This window comes from Homo sapiens, chromosome 5, assembly GCF_000001405.40.
Source record: "Homo sapiens chromosome 5, GRCh38.p14 Primary Assembly".
In the NCBI taxonomy this organism is placed as follows: Eukaryota; Metazoa; Chordata; class Mammalia; order Primates; family Hominidae; genus Homo; species Homo sapiens.
In genome coordinates, this window is record NC_000005.10 from 110,458,852 (window position 1) to 110,483,389 (window position 24,538).

The window sequence follows — 24,538 nt, forward strand, 5'->3', positions numbered from 1 at the left end:
TATAAAATACTCCACATAAATATTTGCTAAACTAATTGGTGCTAAGTTGCACTTAATATCCAACATTATAGTGGTATTCTACTGAGTTATTTTTTTCTTCTTACTTTCAGCTTTATGTAGTATATCAAACAAAAATTAATGTCTTTATTAGGGTAACAAAAATTAATTTGGGGGGATAACCTTCAGGCATCTTTCAGGAGATAAGACCATTTGATGGCATCTTCAGAACTGAGCTATGCACATTTCTTTACCAGCCTTGTTATTTTGTTTACATATTTCCCTGTAGCAAATATAAATATTAGAGATTACATTTTATGCTATTACCTTGGAAATATCAACTTTCTACTATTTTCAACTGTATCAGTAGCAACTCTTGTCTCCTGATGGTAGGCAAGGTAAAACTATCTTTAGACTATGTGGACAAACTCTTATTTGAACTGAGTTTTATTCTTTGATCAATCAACAGATTGATGTCTCTCAATGTCAAAAGTCTCACAAAACTTCAAAGACATATAGCACCGAGTTTGATCTTAAAAATACAAAATAAAAGGTTTTTTAATCTTAGGAATAAGTCCTGTTTTTTATCTTATATACTAGTGAATTAAAAATATTATGAGAGCATGCCTATAGGCCATCCAAATTAAAAAATGAAATTGAAATTAATTAAAAAGTAAAAAGCTCTTTTAGGAGAATGCTAACTCATAAATGTTACAAGGTAGAAAAATAATTTTGTAACCATAATAGTAATGTAAGAAATACCAGACAAGAAACATCAATGGATATTACACTTAGTGGGTAAACGTTTAATGGGAAACAGGCTATTTAGAGTGTGTCAAAATATTTTCTTACAAATTAGTTAATTACTAAGGGAATATAGAGTAACTTTATGATGGGGAAATCTATTAGACACCCCCTTAACCAGGTGGCGAAAATTTAAATCACCAATAAAAGAACAAATGAATGTCATCCCTGATATGATACACTGAGAAGGACACATTGTTTCTGTGCTATTCTTGCTGACGTTACATAACCTGCAACTAATCATGAGGAAAAATTAAACTCAAGCTGAGTTTCATTCTACAAACTATTCCCTGTATTCTGTAAAAAATGTCAAGATTAAGAACCACGAAGAAAGGTTGAGAAACAAGTCCAAACAAATGAGACAAAGGTGACATGACAATCAATTGCAGTGTGTGATCCTGGACTGAATCCTGAACCTGGAGGAAAAATAACTATTAAATAATTTGAAGACAATTGAAAAAAACTTAGTATGACTGTGAATTATAAGATAGCATTATATCAATTTTAATTTCCTGATTTTAATCAGTGTTCTGTGTTTATATAAGATAATCTTATTGGTCTGAGGAATACACTGGGGTGTTAAGGGGAAAAAGGTATGATGTCTGAAATTTACAACAGTTTAGTAAAAATGTATAAGTAAGTGTGTGTGTGTGTGTGTGTATGTGTGTGTAGATGGAAAGGAAATGAATGATAAAGTAAATGAGGCAATATGTAAACATTTGTGAATCTGGGAAAAGGGTATATGGATGCTCTCTATAGTAATCTCACAACTTTTCCTATGCTTGAAATTGTATTAAAGCAATATGTTACCTCAAAAATATTTGCATTAAGATGCTAAACATTTATTCAAAAAATACTGCAAAGAAATTAATACTTTTGCTTAAATCAATTTTGGGACACTAAAAATATTGCCTTTAAGTATAATTTGCCACTTCAAACACACACACATATACTACTATAGGCATATTTCATTTTCTCGTGCTTTGCTTTATTGAATTGCACAGATATTGCATTTTTCTTTTTTTTTTTTTTACAAATTAAAGTTTTGTGGCAACTTTATATCGAGCAAATCTATTGGTATCATTTTCCAACAGCATGTGCGCACTCGGTGTCTCTGTGTCACATTTAGTAATTCCCACAATATTTAAAACATTTTCATTATCATATCTGATATGGTGAGCTGTGATTAGTGATCTTTGATGTAACTATTGTAATTGTTTTGGGGTGTCACATACTCTGTCTATAGAAGATGGCAAACTCAGATACACATTGTACGTGTTCTGACTGCTCAACTGACCAGTTTTTCCCCCATCTCTCCCCCTCTGCTGGGGCTTCCCTATTCCCTGAGGCATAACGATATTTAAATTAGGCCTATTAATAATCCCACAATGGCCTTTAAGTGTTTAAATGAAAGGAAGAGTCACATGTCTCTCCCTTTCAATCGAAATCTAGAAATGATTAGGCTTAGTAAGAAAGACATATGAAAACTGCAATAGGCCAAAAGCTAGGTCTCTAGTACCAAATAGTCAAGCTGTGAATGCAAAAAAAAGAATCGTTATTAAAGGAAATTAAAAGTGCTACTCTAGTGAGCACATGAATGATTAAAAAAAAAAGTAAAACAATTTAATTGCTGATATGGAGAAAGTTTTCATGGTCTGGATAGAGGATGAAGCCAAAGCCTAATCCAGAGCAAGGCCCTGACTCTCTTCAGTTCTATGAAGACTGAGAGAGGTAAAGAAGCTGCAGAAGAAAAGTTGCAATCCAGCAGCGGTTGGTCCATGAAGCTTAAGGAAATAAGTTGTTCCTATATCATAACAGTGCAAGGTGAAGCGGCAAGTGCTAATGTAGAAACTGCAGCAAGTTATCCAAAGGATATAGCTAAGATAATTGATGAAGGTGGCTACACTAAACAAACAACATATGTTCAATGTGGATGAAAAGGTTTTTTATTGGAAGAAGATTTCATCTTGGACTTTCATAGCTGGAAAGAAGTCAATGCTTGGCTTCAAAGTTTCAAAGGACAGGCTGACCATCTTAGGGGATAATGCAGCCAATGAATGTAACTAGAAGCCAATGCTCATTGACCATTCCAAAAGTTCTAGGGCCCTTGAGAATTATGCTAAATCTACTTTGCCTATGCTCTAAATATAGTTTAACAAAGCCTAAATGACAGCACATGTTTTTACAGCATGGTTTGCTGAATATTTTAAGCATATTTTAGGAACTACTGTTCCTAAAAAAAAATGTATTTCAAAATGTTATTGCCCATTGACAATGCACCTAGTTATCCAAAAGCTCTGGTGGAGATGTACAAGGAGATTAATGTTGGTTTCATGTCTTTTAACACAATATCCATTCCAGAGCCCATGAATCAAGGAGCAATTTTGACTTTCAAATCTTCTAATTTAAGAAATACATTTTGTAAGACTGTAGCTGCCAAAGATAGTGATTCTTATAATGGATATGAGCAAGGTAAATTGAAACCATTCTAAAAGGATTCACCATTCTTGATGTCATTAAGAACATTCATGATTTATGGGAGGAGGTCAAAACATCAACATCAATAGTTTGGAAGAAGTTGATTCCAGCCTTTACGGATAACTTTGAGGAGTTCAAGACTACTGTGATGGTTAATATTGAGTGTCAACTTTGATTGGATTGAAGGATGCAAAGTACTGTTCCTGAGTGTGTCTATGAAGGTGCTGCCAATGGAGATTAATATTCGAGTTAGTGGACTGGAAAAGGCAGACCCCCCTCAATCTGGGTGGGCACCATCTAATCAGCTGCCAGCGCAGCTAGGATAAAAGCAGGCAGAGGAACATGGAAAGACAAGACTGGCTTAGTCTTCCAGCCTCCTCCTTTCTCCCGTGCTGGATGCTTCCTGCCCTCGAACATCAGACTCCAAGTTCTTCAACTCTGGGACTCTTGGACCTTTGGCCACAGACTGAAGGCTGCACTGCTGGCTTCCCTACTTTTGAGGTTTGGGGACTTTGACTGGCTTCCTTGCTCCTCAGCTTGCAGACAGCCTATTGTGGGACTTCATCTTGTGATAATATGAGTCAATACTCCTGAATAAACTCCCCTTTATATATACATCTATCCTATTAGTTCTGTCCCTCTAGGGTACCCTAATACAATTACAGTGACGAAAACAACCATAGAGGTGGTGGAAATAGCAGAATTAAAATTAGAAGTGGAGTCTAAAGATGTGACAATTGCGGCAAACTCATGATCAAATTTGAACATATGTGGAGTTGCTTCTTATGGATGAGCAAAAGAAATGGTTTCTTGAGATGGATTCTACTCCTGGTAAAGATGCTGTGAACATTGTTGAAATGCAAAAACGGATTTAAATATCAAATAAACTTAGCTGATAAAGCTGTATCAGGGTTTGAGAGGATTGACTCCATTTTTGAAAAAAAGTTCTACCATGGGTCAAATGCTATCCAACAGTATTTCAGGTTACAGAGAAATCTTTCATTGTGGCGACTTTATTGTTGTCTTATTTTAAGAAATTGCCACAGCCACCCAAATCTTCAACAACCACAACCCTGATCAGTCAGCAGCCATCAACATCAAGGCAAGGCACTCCACCAGCAAAAAGAAAGACGGTGACTCACTGAAAGCTCAGATGATTGTTAGCATTTTTTAACAACTAAATATCTTCAAATTAAGGTATGTGCATTTTTGAGACATAATGTTATTGCATGCTTCATAGACTACAGTATAGTTTAAACATAACTTTTATATGCACTGGGGAATAACAGAATTGTGTAACTCACTTTATTGTGATATTCTCTTTATTGCAGTAGTCTAGAATCCAACTTGCAATATCTCTGAGTTATGCTTATATACATATCATATTTAGATGTTTATTAGATATTCTAAACTTTATATGCTTCAAACCCTAAATATATTATTCTTAATCATTTAATTCCGGCTTTTCTTCTTTTCTCATTCAAAACCATTCCACCTGATTTTAGTTAAATGGTACAATTCTCTCTATTGCTGAGTCTAAAAACATGAGTCTTACTCCTAAGGCCTCTTTTGCCCACCTTTTTGACATATCCAATTTATTGGCAAATATGGTTAGTTCTACCTTCAAAACAGTCTTCTCTAATTTCACTTCTCCTGCCCTACTCCACACCCTCCATTGCATCTCACCTGCCCTACATAAGACCACCCACCTGATTTCCCTGTATTTCATCTTTATTCTGTGTTCTCCAGTCACACTGGCCTTATTTCTACCCCTTACACAGGCCAGGCTGAATACTTTTCACCTGGAGGCCTTTGTGCCTCCTATTTGAAATACTCATCTTCCAGGTATTCACATGGCTGTCTCATTTTATCATATGGGTCTTAGCTCAAATGCTACCTCCTCTGAGAGGCCTTTCCTGACCATCCTATATAAAGAAGTCATAATCTAATTTTTCATACCATTACTTGAACTTCTTTCATAGCAGTTCTCACACACCGAAGTTACACATTTGTTGTCCCCATTCAAGAACTATAAGAGGAAGGAATATAGTTCCTTATATAGACACCTATAAGAGGTGTCTGTTCTTTATCAGCAGAACGCAGTGGCTGAAAAATTGTAGATATTTAATATTTATCAAATGAGTGAAAAATGAACAAAAGCTACAAAATAAAGTCTTGTATTGTTTCTACTAGACAATAGCATCTTACTATTCATTTCTTGAGTCAATGAATGAAGACACTGGGGAAGGCAGAACAAGGGAAAAAGCTTCAAATCTGGAATTGCCATCATAGGCCAGAGTAAGTCTAGAATCTAGACTTATGAATGCTTCCAGTTTGTTCAAAATGCCACTAATTGGTAGCTGGTTGCAATTGGAAGAATGCCATAAATGTAAATGGACACCTAGGTGTCCAGCCCTGCTAGCATATGGTGTGACTTTTAAGCTCAAATTTATTCAGGTGTATCACAAAGAATCAGTCAGAGAATTTTAAAATGTCATCTTTATATAACGAGGGAAATTTGACACCACTAAGTTTATGGGAAAAGCTGTTCCATGTAACAACTAAGTGGAGAGCATTACATTTTGAACAAAAGAGATAACTAGGATAATACGAATCACCATAGCATTTGGAAAGACCTGGGAGTTAAACTCATATATACCATAAATCTATGATCTAGCTATCAATCTATGTATCTATCTGTGTATCTATCTATCTATCTATCATGAACCTACTCTAAAATTTCATGCTATAGTTCACTAAACTGCATACATTTCTAAGAACCTTGAGACAGTAAATAAGAAGTGGAGAATACTAATGCCCATCATGGTAATGCTTACACAGGAAGCCAGCCAAAGCTAAGGACTGGCTTCCTTAAGGCAGTACATCCTTATAAACAGACACTTTTCTCAAAGAAAGCTGAGATGGTCTAACAAATCGACAAAGGATAGCACTACCAAATGATCTTCAATGTAGGTGTAGAGTGAAAAGCTGTCTTTACTTTCTGCATTAGCACACTGTCAATGAATATTCAGATAGACAAAGACAGGGAAAACCAGGTTGAGAAGATTAGACTGTTTAGAAAGCTGTCTTGGCAAAATATTATATCTGTGAGGTATCCTCCAGAGCTGAGGCTATGTCCAGCTTTCTGTTTGTCACTGGGAAGTTTACCTGACAAAACTGTCATGTTCAACTTCTTAAGCCATTCCATCAATGTCATCTCTGATTGGTGGTTAACATCTTATGAAAAGGCAGCCTCTATAAAAGGGTAGCCTAGAGCTCAGTCACCTTACCAGCCCTGAACTCAGGCTGCATAATATTTTAGTTGGGTCAGGTTTCATTATATGGGTGTGAAAGTACCACAGCATTATTTTCTTTTCTTCTTTGTGTATATGTTTATTTGATAAAAATTTTGATTTTCATTGCCTATTTAGACTCAATATTTTGGTATATAAATAGACATTTAAAGTTTGCTTTAGAAATTTGACAATTCCAAAAATCTAACACATATAGACAACTAATCTAGAAATTTGAACTAAATAAATGTGTCCAATGATATATCCTCAAATTCATTTATCATTGCTTTGTTGATAAAAGTAAAAAATTGGGTGTTACTAATGGCCAATAATAGAGAATTGGTAAAATGAGTTATTGCTCCTACATGGAATATGCTACTCACCACTCCCAATTGGTTAGAAAAATATGAGTTCATTTATTAAGTTAGTTCTCCAATATTTATTGGGTATCTACCATGCATGAGCTTCTTTCTGCTCTAGTAATGGAATATGGCAATAAACAAGACAGAAAATCTCCACTCTCATAATACATTCATTCTAGATACATTTAATGAGTTGAAAAAAATGATCTTTCATGAGCAACTGAAAATAGCAGATTAAAAATATATATACAAAATAATATTGATTATGTAAATTAGAAATCTATCTACTAATTGAATATAGCTGTTTGGATAGAAAGGCATTTATGGAGAGATTGGATTGTTTGAGAAAAGCTAATCACAACTTTGAAAAATTCCCAAAATATTACCTTAGTACTGCTAAGGCAAAAGAAAGTGATATCACCACAGAAAAGTAGATCACTTTCTAATGTAGATTCACATAAACCAAATTTTTGAAAATACATACACAAAAACAGAATACCAAGATAATGAATTACAAAGAGAACTAATTTAAAAGCATAATCTCTCTCTATAGGCAATTCCATGGAGGAAATTATTTTTTTAAAAGTTTGCATATTTGGCAAAAAATCAGAGAATTAGGTATACAGAAGTTGGTTTCTCCAGTATCCACTTTTCTATGCTTCCTCTACCTAGTCATCTCCTAATTGTGAACATTTTGTTTTCCATGAGTTTATTTACTCAACAGAGTTAAGTAACTTTATTGCACAGGGACTTTTTGGTATTTATAATCTGTCCCCATATCCATTAAAGTATATTTAGTTCTAGATTTTAAGGTTCATAGGACAAGCATAGTTTTTTTTTTTTTTGAGATGGAGTCTTGCTCTGTTGCCCAGGCTGGAGTGCAGTGGCGCAATCTCGGCTCACAGCAAGCTCTGCCTCCTGGGTTCATGCCATTCTCCTGCCTCAGCCTCCCGAGTAGCTGGGACTACAGGTGCCCACCACCACGCCCGGCTAATTTTTTTTTGTATTTTTAGTAGAGACGGGGTTTCGCTGTATTAGCCAGGATGGTCTCGATCTCCTGACCTCGTGACCTGGCCAAGCACAATACCTTAATGTTGCTTGAACTATAGTATTTGTGTGTGTGTGTGTGTGTGGTGTATGCTGGATAAGCCACCTCCAAAAAATAGATCTGGAAGGAGCACACTAAAATATTACAATGATTATCATTATCTAAGGTTGATAGAAAAAGGGATCATTGATGGCATTTCTTTTACTCAATATTTTATGAAATATATATATTATGGTTATAATCAGAAAAAAAATTTAAAGAAGATGGACGGCAGACCAATATGTCTACCAATAAAGTTGGAAAAATATGCTTACATAATTCATCTGGCTAAAGACATCATTGTGATGCTGAAATCATGAAGACTGGATAAAAAAGGTTTTCAAAGGAACAGAACCATAGAGAGGTAGGCTAACCCTCCCCTAGGATACTTTTCTCCATTTAATTTGTCAGTTCTGCCTGCAGAATATGTGACTAAAAATCTAGGCTTTTCCCAGGTAGGAGCCTCCTGGTAGAGAACAGAGAAATTAGGAGAGATGGTGGTGTTCTAAGGCTGATGAGATAAAACTGAATAACGGATGAGTTTCAAAATTCAGCCAGTTTTTCTTTGAAGAGTTCTTTCAAATTCTAAAGCTTATGCAGTTGGGCAGCTAATACACTAACAGAAAGCCACTAAGAATAAAAACTGCATTTGCAGAATAGCTTCAAAACTATGAAAGCCATCATATCCAGAACTCATGAAATATTTCAAAAAGCTTTGCAAACAAAAGATACAACAAATACATAAAAATTTACGCCTATATACATCATATTAAGACTACTGAAAGTGAAAGATAAAAATATTCAAATAATATTTCTATTAGTTTGCTAGGACTGCCATTAAAAAGTACCACAAATTGGGTAGATTCAAAAATAAATAAAAATATATTTTCACACAGTTCTGGAAGCTAGAATTCCATGATCAATGTGTCCACATGGCTCCTTCTGTGAGCTATAAGAGAGAAACACATCCCAAGGTTCTTCTATCCAAGATTCTAGTCTAGCAGGGTTCTTTTGTTGTTTGTTTTGGGAATCTTCTATACTCTTTGGCTTTGGGTGCATCACCCTGATATGTGGATTTACCTTTACATGACATTCTTCCTGTGTGCATATTTGTGGCCAATCCCCACTTTTTATAAGGACACCAGTCATATGGGAATAGGGGCCCATTCCAATTCAGCATAATTTCAGGGGAACACAATTCAACCCACAACAAGGGATATTCATTGGAAGAAAAAAAAAGATAGATACATTACTTTACTTTAAAATAAAAAAAAGATATATTACAGCTAACTTCTCAACAGGAATAATGGAACCCAGAATACAATGAAATAACATCTTTTAAATTTTGAAAGAAAATAATCACCAATCCAAAATTATCTTCCCAGTGAAAATAAATAAATATATTTCATATAAGAGCATAAAATAATGTTTTTTTAACATAAAAAGTTTAAAGAATTTATTACTAGCAGACCTTGATTAAACGCTTAAAAACATTACATGAAAATTTTGAAACTATTTTAAACTGAGAGTATAGACATACTACTATAAAATGATGAACTAAGGTTGTTAGAGGGAAATTTATAGCCCTAAATAAAAGCTTGCCTTAAATAAATTTATAACTTTAAATATCAATGTAAAAGGAAAGGCTAATAATTATATTTCTTATAAACAGGGATGTGATAATGTTAAATGAAACATTGGAAATTCTATTCGAATGATATATAAAAACCACAATATGTCATGATTATATAAGTATAACCCCAGGAAAGCAAGGTTAATTTGTGATGAAAAATTTACCAGTTTAATAAAATTATATAATCATCTTAATAGATGAATGAACATATTTGCTCAAATCCCAGATCCTTTCATAATAATAAAAAAATCTTAGGAATAATGTCAGTAAGATGGCTGTCTAGAAGCCCTTAGTTCTTGTAACTACCACAAAGTCAGCAGAAACAATTAACAACTATATTTGGATAAAAATAACTAAAGGAGAGTACTGGAATATGTCAAAGGAGTACCAGAAACCATGTAGAGCACAAAAACTCTAGAAACATAGAGAACAAAAGAAAATACCTGGCCTTCACTAATTCATCCCTAAACCAGAATAAGCTTGAAACCAGGAGGAACTTCTCTCTGTGGGGAAAAAGTAAGCAATAGGATCCCAGCAGCCCCAATCAACATTTTGGAACCTAAAGTTCTCACCACTGGGGTCTTCAGCAATCCTCATGAGAATGAAGTCCAGCTAAGGGAGCTGTCTGGAGTCCATACATTTGTGCTTCCCCCATAGAAACAAACAGCCAATACTGTGCCCCTCGCTCAGTGGCCTGCAGAGCTTTTACACCATACCATTTTGGAACTGGAACTATGGCTGGCATGTGTCTTGCTACAGATTGAGTAGCCATGGAAATCTCCCATCCCTGAGGCTTAGCAGCCACTAAATCATGCTTGTCTGGTAGTCCAGTATCTCTGAGCTGGGCTGTGAACTGCTGTTATACCCTACCAAATGCGGCCAAGCACCCCTGAAGCCATGCCACCTACTCATGCCAGTCATGGCTGTGCCCTGCCTCCTCAGAGACCAAGCTGAAGTTACACATTCCTCCTGGGGAAATGGTGCCTTGGTGAAGCCACCCTATCTACCCCTCTCCAAGCCACTGCTGCACTCTGAACCATGGAACCTGAGCTAAAGCTGTGCATTCCCTCCTAGGGAAATGGTGCCTTGGTGGAGCTGATTGATATATCCCTCCTAGTTGCTGCTGCACCCTGTTCCCGTGTCAGCACTGAGGTGATGCTCTGTATCCAGGGGAAACAGTGCCTTAGCCACCCAGAGCTGTCAATCCCCTCAGCCTGAGCTGAAATGACACATTGCCTTCCAGGGAATCAGTGCGTTGGCTAAGCGGAGCAGCTATGTACACCACGATTGCACTGATAGAGCATTCTATGTCCCAGGGGAAAAAATGTAGTGGCTGAGCTGAGACACCCTGCCTTACAGTCCATAAAACTCTAACACTCTGCTTCCCTGAAGTTGGAATAGTCCCCTAAAATTTGAGCTGCTGGACATTTTCTTTGCCAAAGAGTGGAGTCATTACTGTGATGCTCCCTGCCCCCCCGGAACCCCAGCAACAGCCATACTCTACCATGTTGGAGTTCGTACTCCTGCTGCATCTGGCTTCACAGAGTTTGGGATACTGCCAAGTCTAACTATCCCAGGGTCCAGAGTCACTGCTACACAGTGCCTCATCCCCTGAGACCTGAGTTTCTAATGAACCTTGTTGGTTCTGTTTCATGCAGTGCAGCTGTACCGTGCTCCCTGGACCCAAACATCTAGAAAACCTTCTCTTCCCCAGGGACGGGCCTGTGCTGTGCCCTGCCCGTAGGGTCAGAGTTATAGCTACAACCTTGTTCCCTGGGCACAAGCGCTAGAAGATGCCTCACAGTCACAGACCATGGTTCTGTGAGGAATCCACATTCTACCCGACCACAGAGAATGAACTTGTATGTAAAAGCCCAGGTGCCACAAAAAGTTCACAAGACACTGACCTGGAACCCCTGCTTCATAGCCACTGTAAACATCTGTGCCCTGGAACCCAGCATGCTGCAGCTGCTTAGGAACCAAGTCAGACACAGCACCAAGGGAAATTTCCTTGGCTTAGTCTCCCCATTGTGGGAAATAAAAAAATAAGAGGACGATATAAACTCTTGCCACTGAGGACCCTAATAACTTGTGCTGCCACCATCACTCCTACAAACTCCTACAGCATAGGCCACTGAGGTACCCAGTTATTGCTGATGTTGATTGCAACTTAGAACCAGAGTCAGCACACCCTTCCTAACCAGGACATTAAGACCCATTTTCAGGTGAAAGTATTTCTCTATGAAAGCCACTTTCTAAAGTTTAGAAGTGGTGATTGTTACACCAGATGCACAGACATCAACACAGAGACACAAAAAAGCAATGAAAAATCAAGAAAATCTGACACCACCAAAGGAGCACAATAGTAGTCCAGTAACAGGTCCCAAAGAATTGAAAATCTACAAATTGCCAGAAAAGAAATTCAAAATAATGACCTTAAGGAAACTCAGTGAGATACAAGATAATACAGATAGACAATTTGGTTAAACCAGGAAAACTATTCATGATCTAAATGATAACCTTACCAAAGAGATAGACATCATTAAAAACAACCACACAGAAATATTGGAGTTGAAGAATTCAATGAATAAAATAAAAAAGTACAATAGAGAGCTTCAAAAAATACAGTTGAGACTAAATAAAGCAAAAGAAAGAATCTCTGAACTTGAAGACTGGTCATTTGAAATTACCAAGTCAGAAGAAAGAAAAACATAAGAATGAAAAACAGTGAAGACAGTATACAAGACTTATGGGACAGCATTAAATGAACAAACATTTGTATTATGGGAATTCCAGAAGGAAAAGAGAGAAAGATGCAGACAGAAAACTTACTTAATAAAATAATTGGTGAAAACTTCCCAAGTGTTTGAAGAGATATGGAAATCCAGATAGATGAAGCTCAAAGGTCCCCAAGCAGATTAAAACCAAAGAGGACTTCACTTAGAGACATTAATTAAACCCTCAAAAGTCAAAGACAATGAGAGGATTTTAAAGACAGCAAGAAAAAAGCAGAGTCACATATAAAGGAATTCCATTATGATATCAGTGAACTTCACAGCAGACACTGTGTAGTCCAGGAGAGAATGGGATGACATATTCCAAGTGCTGAAAGAAAAAAAAAAAGAAGACAAAAAAAACCTGGCAGCCAAGAATTCTATACCTAGCAGACCAGTCCTTCATTAATGAGAAAGGAGAAATAAAATCTTTTCCAGACAAGCAAAAGTTGAGGAAATTTATCACTACTAGAGCTAACCTACAAAACATGACTATGACAGTCCTTTGAGTAGAAACAAAGTTGTTTTTCAGAAAAGATAAACAAACCAACAAACTTTAAGCCAGACTAAGAAGTCAAAAAAGAGAGAAGACTCAAAGAAATCAAATCAAAGGTGAAAAAGAAGACATTACAACATATAACACAGAAATGGAAAGGATCATAAAAGACTACTACTATGAACAACTATACACCTACAAATTGGGAAACCTAGAAGAAAGAGATAAGTTCCTAGACACTTCTATTCAACATATTACAGGAAGTTTTAGCCAGAACAGTTAGACTAAAGAAGGAAAGAAAATGCATCCACATAGGAAAGGAGGAAGTCGAACTGTCCTGATCTGCAGGAGATGTGATCTTATATAGAAAAGCCAAAGACTCCACAAAAAACTATTATAACTAATAAACAAATTCAGTAAAGTTTCAGGATACAAAATCAACATAAAAAATTGGTAGCATTTTTACATGCTAATGATGAACTATCTGAAAAAGAAATAAAAGCAAACAACTCCATTCACAATAACTACAAAAAATAAGATACCTTGGAATAAATTTAACTAAGGAGGTAAAAAATCTCCAAAACAAAAACTATAAAACACTGATTATAAAAATTGAAGTGGACATAAATAAATGGAAAAAATATCCTGTGTATATGCAGTGGAAGAATTAGTATTGTTAAAAAGTCCATACTCCCAAAATTATTCTGCAGAGTGAGTCAATGCAATACCTATCAAAATACCAATGAATTCTTTACAGAAATAGAAAAAATAGGGATCCTAAAATTTTTATTGAACCACAAAAGACTCTGTAAATCAAAGCACTCTTGAGCAAACAAAACCAAAACCAAATAAACACAACAACACAGCTGAAGGCATCTCACTACCTAACTTCAAAATATACTACAAAGCTATAATAACAAAAAAAGCATGGTGTTGACATAAAAATGAATACATAGACCAATGGGACAGTATAGAGAGCCCAGAAATAAACCCATAGCTCTTAAGCCAACTTATTTTTGCCAAACGGGCCAAAAACTCATACTGGGGTAAGGACAGTCTTTTCAATAAATGATGGTTGGAAAATTGAATGTCTACATTCAGAAGAATAAAATTTGTCCCCTATCTCTCATATGTAAGGAATTAACTCCAAATGCATTACAGAGTTAAATGTAAGACCTCGAAACTATGAAAAAACCAGAATAAAACATAGAGTAAATGCTATATAATATTGGTCTGGGCAAAGATTTTTTTGGATAAAACCTAAAAAGCACAGGCAACAAATGCAAAAAAAAAAAAGGACAAATAAGATTATATCAAACATATCAAACTAAGAAACTTCTACACAGCTAAGAAAACCACCAACAGTGTGAAGAGACAACCTGTCGAATGGGAGAAAATTTTTGCAAACTATACTTCTGACAAGAGGTTAATAACCAGAATATACAAGAAACTGAAACAACTCAATAACAAACAAAATGGATTAAAAATGGGCAAAATATGTGAATGGATATTTTTCAAAAGAAGACATACAAATGCCCAAAAGTTACATAAAAATACTCAACATCACTGATCATCAGGAAAATGCAACTCAAAACCACAGTGAGATATCACCGCCCTCCAGATAAAATGCAAAGTTATCTAAAAAACAAAAGATAAGTGTTGCCAAGGATGTGAAGAAAAGGGAACCCTTATGCACTGTTGGTAGGAATATAAATTCGTACAGTCATTATGTTAAATATTATGGAGGTTTCTAAAATATTGAAAATAATAAATGTATACACCTACTATGTACTCTCAAAAATTAAAAATTAAAAAATTAAAAAAAAAATTGAAGTACCACATGATCTAGCAATCTCACTACTGGGTATATATTCAAAGGAAATCATTATGTCAAATAGATATCTGCACTCCCATGTTTATTGCAGCACTATTCACCATAGCTGAGATATAGAATCAATGTAAGTGTCGATCAATGGAAAAAATGAATAAAGAAAATATAATATATATACCCAATGGAATACTAGTCAAATTCAAAAAAAAAGAGGAAATTCTATGATATGCAATAACATAGATAAACCTGGAGGACATTCTGTTAAGTGAAATAAGCCAGACACCAAAAAAAAAAAAAAAAAAAAAAAAAAAACCCGCAAAATAACTTACTCCTGTGTGAAATCAAAAGTGGTTACTATCATAGGCTGGGGGTGGGGGAGAGTAGGGGGTAGAGAGAAATGGGGAGAGGTTGATCAATAGGTACACAAAGTTACAGCTAGATAAAATAAGTAAATTGTGGTGTTCCATTGCACAATATAGTGACTATAGTTAACAAAAATACATTGTACATTTCAAAATAGCTATAAGAACGGATTCTGAATGTTCTCATCACAAATAAATGTTTGAGATAAATGATTTGCTAATTACCCTGATTTGATCATTATATAACATGTACTTACACTGAAATGTCACATGGTACCCCATAAATATGTACAATTATTATATGTCAATTAAAAATACAATGAAACTTTTAAAATATTAGCAAATTATGGCTAGAAGTTACTTCTTAACCTGGTAAAGATTTTTTAAAACCTACAGCTAATTGTTTAATGTATCCCTGTTCTGTTTTTAAACTCCAATTCTCATTTTACATATTCTTGGGAAAAAAAACCTACAGCTAATATCACCTTTAATGGTGATTTACTCAGACCTTTACCCATGATATTGGGAATGATTCAAGAAATGTACACTATGATCACTTCTATCTAACTATAAATTAGAAGTTCTAGCTAGCACAATGAGGAAAGGCAAGGACATAAAAGGCATACATATTGGAATTTTAAAGAACAGAAAAAATTGTTATCCTTAGTGACTTTTATACTTAGAAAATAAAGATACCCACTTATAAATAATTAGACTTAATATGCATATTTAATAAGTTGCTATAGAAACAGTTAATATATAAAATCATTGCTATTTCTTTGTATTAGCAAGAAATAGCAAATAAAAATTTAAAAGATGTCATTTGAAAAACATCAAGAAAAAACAAATAATGCTAATGAAAAATTATTACAATTTCTACACTGAATATTGTCAGAAATAAAAGAACACTTCAGTGAACTGAAGACTATACTATGATCATAGACCAAAAGATACATATTTTTCAATATAGTATTGAAACAATTTTTCAGTGCAGTATTTTTCCCAAATTAGTTCCTAGATTCAACATTTAAATATTAGATGCTAATATTTGTGTAAAAATTCAAAAGTCCTGAAGAGCCCTAAAACAATCTTGAAGTAGAAGCCCAAATATTTTATTAAGATTCATCACACAGTCACATAAATTAAAATTATGGTATTAGTGTAAGGAAGTAGACCAATGGAACAATAGAGAGTCCAGCAACAGACCCAAATATATACAGTTATGCCAATTCTTGATTTATGACAAAAGTGATCCTGCAGTGCTATGAGGAAAGCCTGTATTTTTTTTCTGAAAAGGAAAGGCTATATTTTTAGTGAAAGTAACTGAGGCTGGATGCACTGGATATCTATTAGGAAGAAAACTTTTGATGCCTATGGAACACCATATATAAAATTTCATCCCTGACAGATTGTACTTTTAAATATGAATGATAGCTTTTAGTCAAGAGGGAGTAACAGATTTCTATTTATACTTTGATTTTTTTTTTTTTTTTTTTTTTTTACAAAAACCAGTTCTCAATATATTGGACATCAAACAGTGAAGGATAAAAATCTCCAAAAATGGCAAACAAATGAGGTCCAATTGTCTCAGCTTACTAACCAGGGAAAACTGCCAATCTCCAAAGCTAGGAGAATCTAGATGGAGCTCAGCAAATTCCTGAAGTGAAGAGATAGAGCTATAAGTACAAGGAGGCCAAAGTGGCTAGTTTGTTTGCAAGGTAGTAGAGAGTTCAGGTGAAAGCCTCCCAGAGAAAGAACTCTGCAGATATCCAGAGTTCCCCACTCAGCTGAGTACTCATTAATTGCAGCACAAGCACCTGAGGACACTACCAGGGTCTGGGGAAAGAACCACTAAAAAAAAGTACAGCAAACAATCCTTGAGGTTCACACAGGGCCGGAAAAATCAATTTCTAACCAAAGTGGAAAATTTCATAGTTCACAGACATCAGGTAGAGTACTTAGATTTTTCCTCAGTAATGGGACAAAAGAATAAAATTGACAGAACACTTTCAACACAGAATCGTTTTTGTTGTCTTTGATAAAGACCATATATTAATATGGCTTTATTACTAACTCTGTAGGTATTGTTGGGCAACCCATTTCAACACTGAATTCTTTAGTTTTTTTAATATATAATGTCATAATTGAAAGGAAATATTACTAGTATATGTTATGGGCTGCTTTTTGTTCCCCTATAATTAATATTCTGCAGCCCTAATTCACAGTATCTTATGCTGTGACTCTACCTGGAGATGGGGCTTTTAAAAGGTAATTAATGTTAAATGAAGTCATATGGATGGGGTCTCATCCAACTTGACTGGTGTCCTTAAAAGGAAATTTTGATACAAAAATAACAACAGGTGTGTGAGCACAGAGAAAAGGACCTGTGAGGGGTACAGCCAGAAGGCAGCTATTTTACAAGTCAAAGAAAAGGACTCCAGAGGAAAACAAACCTGCCAACCCCTTTATCTTGAACTTCCAGCATCTGGAACCATGAGTAAATAAATTTCTCTTGTTTCAGTATCCCATACTGATTTTGTTATGGTATCCCTAGCCAACTAATGTATGTGATCCTGAAATATAGAGTTCATAATAAAATTCCAAAAAAATGGATTTGTGATTAATATAGAAAAATGTTATTGTAATGATTCTAGATCTTCTATTCATACAAAGAATTAAGTTGACAGTGGATTGCCTATGAATAATCATGGTAATGAACAACCTAATGACAAACAGTACCTCAAGTCTGCTAGCATTTCCCAGATGTAATTATTACAGCACGTTTGGACATTCTAATGTTTTTATGAATGGTGGGAGGAATGTGTGTGCTTGATTTGCATTTTTGTGAAAAATAACAGCTTTATTAGTTACCTTATTTCTTGTATTTTGAAAAAGGTTACGATTTTAATTTTCAGATTTCTTGGCCCTTATAACACCAACAGACAGAGGATGATAACGTAGATGGTGTTTAGAAACATGAAATTCCCTTAGTATTAAGACAGCCAGCAAATGGGACAAAAACGGTATGTGAAATCAGATCTCCTTTTGGGAATAAATTAACTGTATGACTGGGCTCTATTTTAATATTTAGACAAGGTTTTTCAAAACAAACCTGAGGCCTGTTTCAGATGTTAAAGAACTGGCATTGCTAAATGAAACACATTATTCTAAACATATTCAACTGAATACATACCACTATTTTGGCATTAATGTAACTTCTACAGAAAATAGAAATAAATGGTTTCCATTTCCCACTGGGAAAAATGCTTGGTTAACCGTAGATGGTTGCACTTCCATAAAAAGCACCAAACTATCTTTAACCATGGATCTTTTTCATATTATGGTAGTACCTAGAAATAAGAAATGATGCCCTAGATTACTGATATCAACTACTATTCATCAATTATTATTCAAAGTAACAAATCTAGTTTTGTAAATGCCTTAGTAAAGCATACTGAGAAGCAGTCCAGCTTTCTTTGTATTATTGTGGTTTTTTAGTCAAATAATTATATGTAATTATTATGTTTTATCTGTCAGCAAGTTGAAATATGAAAGTATAATATTAACAATAATATTACACAAACTGCTGTAAATACATCAATCACACCGTCCTTTCATGGTTGTGTTAACTATTACTCTCTTAAGCCTCCATCTATTCAAAAACCTCTATTCCCCACACCTCCAAGTTCAGTTTCCTAAAACATCTGTATCTTCTTTTATAAACTGCTTACAAAAAAAAATTCATAATGATGATAAACCATTGTCAACTTACTACATCAACATCCATCAAATGAATTGATTACATCTACATGCTCATTTTGTATAATAGAAATACAATCAATCACTGCAGTAAAATACTATCATGGGATTAATGTCTTCTACTCTGAAAATGTAAGTTTTGCCTTTGGCTTGGTATTTTATGAAGCAGCAAGAGACCATTATCCTGTGACAACATTTTATTTCATTGACATCTCAAATATATTCTTAATATCTTTTATATTTATGTTCAGTTTAGAATGAGAGGATTAGAATAGGTGTTATTATAGTGGAAAGGCATTCATTACTACATTCTGAATAGCATTACCATGTGACATGTCTCAGCCATAAGAATCTCTTGGCAAGAATTGCATCTTTTATTCTTATGTATTCACAGCAAAGCTGTCTGTATCCCACGCTATGAATTTTTCCTGCGTTAATCATCAACATCGACCCAGTTTTGCTGCTATATGGTTCTCACTTTAAGTTATATACTATGTAAATCAATCTGATCACTAAAATGTTAATGAAATATTAAAAAGATAAAGTTTTTAAACCTTAAGCCAGATAATAACCATAAATTTAAATTCTTACTCTACTTTAAAATAGATTTCTTCCTTTCCTTTTGAAATCACTGTCCTCAGCAGTTTTCCACACTCTAAATACTAAGGATTTGCCTATGCATGTAAAATGGAGAATTGCGATAATTGTCTCTATAACTCAAAGTAAGGGAAACACAACTTCATCTGAAATGTCTAAGCAACTGAGGCCATTTTTGGGCTTGGATTATCTAGAAAATGACTTCAGTTTTCCAACATATTTTGCATGAGTATATATAAAAACAGATACAGGGTAAATTATACAAAATAAGATTCAGAGTGTTAAACGTGAAGTGGAAGATAGAATAAGAAACTATGAAAATTCATTTATGGGCATTGATGTTGAAATTCTGTATGTACAGCAAAGGGAATTAACACAATTTTCAAGATGTTAATATCATAAGGCAATGTTTTGAGTTTACTGAGCTTTTAAGGTGCCAATGTTGCCTGTTTGTGTTAGACCACTGCTGTAATTACATTTCAGCTAGCTAATGAAATGCTAAGCAGTGTTTTGTCTATGCATTGTTGTGAGAGAAGTAGAAGTGTTTTGATTATGAGCAGATGGAGAAATTGATTTTTTTTTTTTTTTTTTTTTTTGCTCTTTCTTTGTGGGTTAAGAATAAGGTAGTGAAAAGCCATGGATTGGTATCCTTGATTGGGACTTAAAGTGTTACTGAGTCTGCGGTTAGGTCTACATTACTGTGGTAGAACTAGAAATTCCTGAAAAAGTTGTTGGCTGCTTCTAATATACCACATCTAGTCTATATATAGCTTCGTGACTTCCCTTTCCCCCTAAAATATTCAAGCACAACTCATGACTCATAGTAAGTGATGTTTTTAAGGGCTGAGGTATTAATTGATTTGTTTTCTTTTTGCCTACTTGCCCCTGCCAAAATACATGTAGATAGAACATATAAAAACATAGAAAAAATTTGTTTTAATCATTTGACTTAGATATTTTTCTCCATGTAGACCCAACTGAATTATAAGATAAATATTTAGGTCATAAAACATACATACACAACTTGATGAATTATCACAAAGTGAATGCATTCTATTAAACAACAACCAGATAAGGAAATAAAAAAAATTACCAAAATAACAGAAAGCCCTTCATGTCTCTCTAGTCACTAATACCTTCTCAAATACAACCTCTATGCTGCCTTATAACACTAGAGATTACCTGTGATGGTTTTTTAACTTTATACAAACTGTATTATAAAGTATATATCATTTTTATTTGATTCTTTGGATCAACAGTATTTTGCATGTAATTATAGTCTGATCATTCTCATTTTATTAATGAATTTACCACAACTTACTTATTTTACTATCAATTGATATTTTGGGTTTTTTTAGTTGACCACTAATTTTTACTTAATAGTCTCTGTTTTGTGGTGGTTATTCATTAAATGCATCATTTTCAAAATACAGCTGTTGTCAGTGTCTGATGAGACACTACTGAATACAAGTTCCATTCTACATGTAGTCAATTGATGTATCCCCAAATCCAGTACATTTCTGTAAAGAAGTCACTTAAATTCACACCCACATGTTTTTGGTGTGTATTATACTGTTATTGAAATACAATATAATTTTTTTAACATACGACTTTTTATTCAGCAGAGAAAAAAATACATAATTTCATTTTTTTTCCTCCTGTAAATATGTTCAGTTGATGGTATTAACACTAGTTCTTTATCATATATAACTTTCAGCATTTGTCTTTGAAATAACTACTCATTATTTCTGCATCCTTCTTTTAATTCTCAGTGATATTTAAAGCTTATTTTATATGCTATAGGAATAAAAAGGGAAAGCTAATGTTAAGTAAGCATAGCAGTCTACTTCAGTGTTACTTAAATAAATAGCAGTGGGAGAAAAAGAAGCTTCTATATTCTCCATGCAAAAAAAAATGATCTTCAGAGATTAAGAAAAAATAACCATTTTATTTTTTATATTCATCTTTTACTAAAATAGTTAAATGGTATATTTTCATTTATCCTTTATTTATATGCAAATGTCAGTCTTTTGAACAACTCACCTCACTGGTGTGAAGAAGTTACAGATGTTTCTTCTCTAAAGAAATTAATGACAGACAATGTAAACAATAAACAGAGAGTTCATATTAAGTTATTGACCATACCTGAGTAAAAGATTTAGATTTTGTTTGGTTTGGTTGGTTGTTTTTTAAGAGATTGCTTGAGAAAGGATTCTGCTAGATTTCTATTTTTTCCTAAAGTTCATGGTGCACTTCTTGCAATGGAAATGGTTTCCCACCCATTCCTTTTGATACTGTTGGGAACTGTGTGTTTGAACTGGTTCTCTATAGTATTGCTCAAGATGCAAAAATGGCAGGCAGATTTCAAAGATGATTCTATTTTATACTATAGGAATGAGATGTGAATAGTGAGGGCATAAAAGACCAACTATTCCTGATGTCATTCAAAAAAGTATCAGTCAAAATAAATACTCCATTTATACTTGTATTTATACAAGAAACATAAATATCAACCTATTCCATGATAGCATATACACTAAGGAGTGGTCAGTAGTAACAAATAATAAACAACCTACATTGAATTCAAATAACTGCTTCATTGACTTGTATTCATTTTATACTATAAATTATATGATTAATGTATACAATTTTGTTTTCTGTATCTAGTTAATAGGCTTGGTTAGTTGCTATTTGCTATTTTAATTACTCATACATAACTCATAATGATTTGATAAACAGATATTTTTAAATTTGCCATGTGAATCAACTGAAGTGATGCTAATAGTCAATCTTAGACCTGGTATTTCTAGGCAGAATATAATATATTCCTTAATGTTTATAGATTTAAAGTATATGTTACTTTCTCTAAACATTCATTATGATGTTAAAATTTTACTTGTAAGCTGTTCAATGTTAAATTGCACTGTTATAGGTGCTAAAATGACTTTTCAGATTATTATTTCATTAAAAAGACAAATACGACAAAAGGAAAAGCAACATAAGTCAGCAAATCAAATATCCATTCCTAGATCTGTTGTTGAAGAGCTAAATATCTTCCTTTGGAAAAAACTTTGTCTTTGGGCAACAGATTTTATATTTAAAATGAATAAATTGGCCACTGGGTTATGACAATAGAAAAAAATGCTCTCCCTCTTCCCCCTTTTATTAGCAAATCCCTGAAAATAAGTACCTCTCCCCTCCGCACACACACATAAACCACAAATATCTAATATCAAAGCTGGAAAAAAGAGGTAGTGCCATTAAATGCTCATCATGTGCAACATTTTGACTCTGAGAAATAGAAAGATATTGGCAGGTTAAAGCAGCAAATCACAGTTTCAAAATATAAAAGCATACTACTTCAGAACATGGGAAAGCACTTAGAGCTAGTGTTTGAGACAAGAGTAGACTTTGAAGCAAACATTTGGGTGACTCGTTGGTCTTTTACATCCAGGTTCTTCTATCATTCTATCCACCAAATACTGCTAAGCTGTGGAACCAGTAAGTATAAGAACACAGGCTAAAAAACTAAGGCTGTTCCCTGGGATTCTGGTGAAAGCTAATAAGAATAGGCTCTCAAAAAGAGACAACTGGCTCTTAGCGCACACTAGCTAGCAATATTTCTCATTCTTATCCCAAAATAATAAGAACCAAGATTTATTACAGAAACTAAATATTCTAAACAAACTAAAAATTTTTTTAATTAAAAGGTAAACATTAAACCAAGAATCATAATATATTTGAGTCAAAGAACCAAAGCTCCAAACAAAATCTAACACACTAGAAGTAAAATTAATAGAATAGACAAATAAGACAGGATATCACATCCAAACAACAAGAGCAGACATTTATAATAAAGCTCCAATTAGAGACATCAGTTCCCAGAAATATAAAGTAACCTTAATACCATCCAGAAAGAAAATTTACTGAAACATGAAAGAAAATTTTTTGAAACATTAAAAAAAATTTAATTTGGCCTGGCATCGTGGCTCACTGCTGTAATCCCAGCACTTTGGGAGGCCAAGACAGGCAGATAACCTGAGGTCAGGAGTTTGAGATGAGCCTGGCCAACATGGCAAAACCCCGTCTCTACTAAAAATACAAAAATTAGCCAGGCGTGGTGGTGGGTGCTTATAATCCCAGCTACTCGGGAGGCTGAGGCAGGAGAATCACTTGAACCCAGGAGGCGGATGTTGCAGTGAGCCGAGATTGCGGCACTGCACTCCAGCCTGGGCGACAAGAGTGAAACTCCATCTCAAAAAAAATTTATATATATATATATATTATTTTTAATTAATGATGAGCTTACATAACCAAAAGCAGAGAGAAGCAAATGAATTTAGCATAAAGTTTAGAAGTAGATTTCTGCAACTAAACCCGTAAACATGAATGAGTAAAAATAAATAAAAGAAGCATCTAGCTAAATCATTAGAAAAGGAACAACAAAACAAGTAGGTAGTGGGATTATATATTTAAAGTGCTAAAACAAAAAAGTTTATCAACCAAGAATTCTATATCCAGAAAAAACTTTCTTCAAATGCTAAAGAGAAGTAGACAAAAATGTAGAGAATTTTCCCATGGCACACTTTCCTACAAGAAATACTAACAAGAGTCCAGGATGAAAATGAGCAGACACTAATTTGAATCAACATGAAGAAATAAAGTACACTGCTAAAGGCTGTATAGTACTACATAAGTATAAAAGTATAAATGTATTTTTGTTGATAATACCTTTTTTTTCTATCTTAGTTTAAAAGCCCTGCATAAAGCAGTAATTATAAATCTATGTTGTTGGGCATACAATGTATAAAGATGAAATTTACATGATAATAACAGCACAGTAGAGTAGGGAGCAAATAGAGCTAGCAAAGAGCAAAGAATGTGTGCACTGTTGAAATTAAATTGGTATCAATAAGAACTAATTTTTTATAAGTTATAATATAAATTGTAACCCCCAGGGCAGCTGCTTAAAAAAACCTTGAAAATGGTAAAATGAGATAACATCTCACACAACTCTGAATACCTAATATTAAAAAGTCAAAAAATAATAGATGTTGACAAAGTT

At 34.2% G+C, this 24,538-nt stretch overlaps 1 protein-coding gene across 16 annotated transcripts in view; it reads right to left on the reverse strand.

Moving 5' to 3' along the window:
- The window catches only part of TMEM232 (transmembrane protein 232), a 351,524-nt gene that overhangs the window by 71,421 nt on the left and 255,565 nt on the right, over positions 1-24,538 (reverse strand). The window contains exon 16 of one of the 16 annotated variants that reach the window (XM_011543559.3): positions 1-18,467. This exon is cut by the window's left edge and continues 22,407 nt beyond it. The exons of the other annotated variants lie outside the window; for them this stretch is intronic. Coding sequence (XP_011541861.1) covers positions 18,434-18,467 — 34 coding nt within the window. The 3' untranslated portion in view covers positions 1-18,433. The remainder of the gene's footprint in view (positions 18,468-24,538) is intronic. 16 annotated transcript variants of the gene reach the window in all.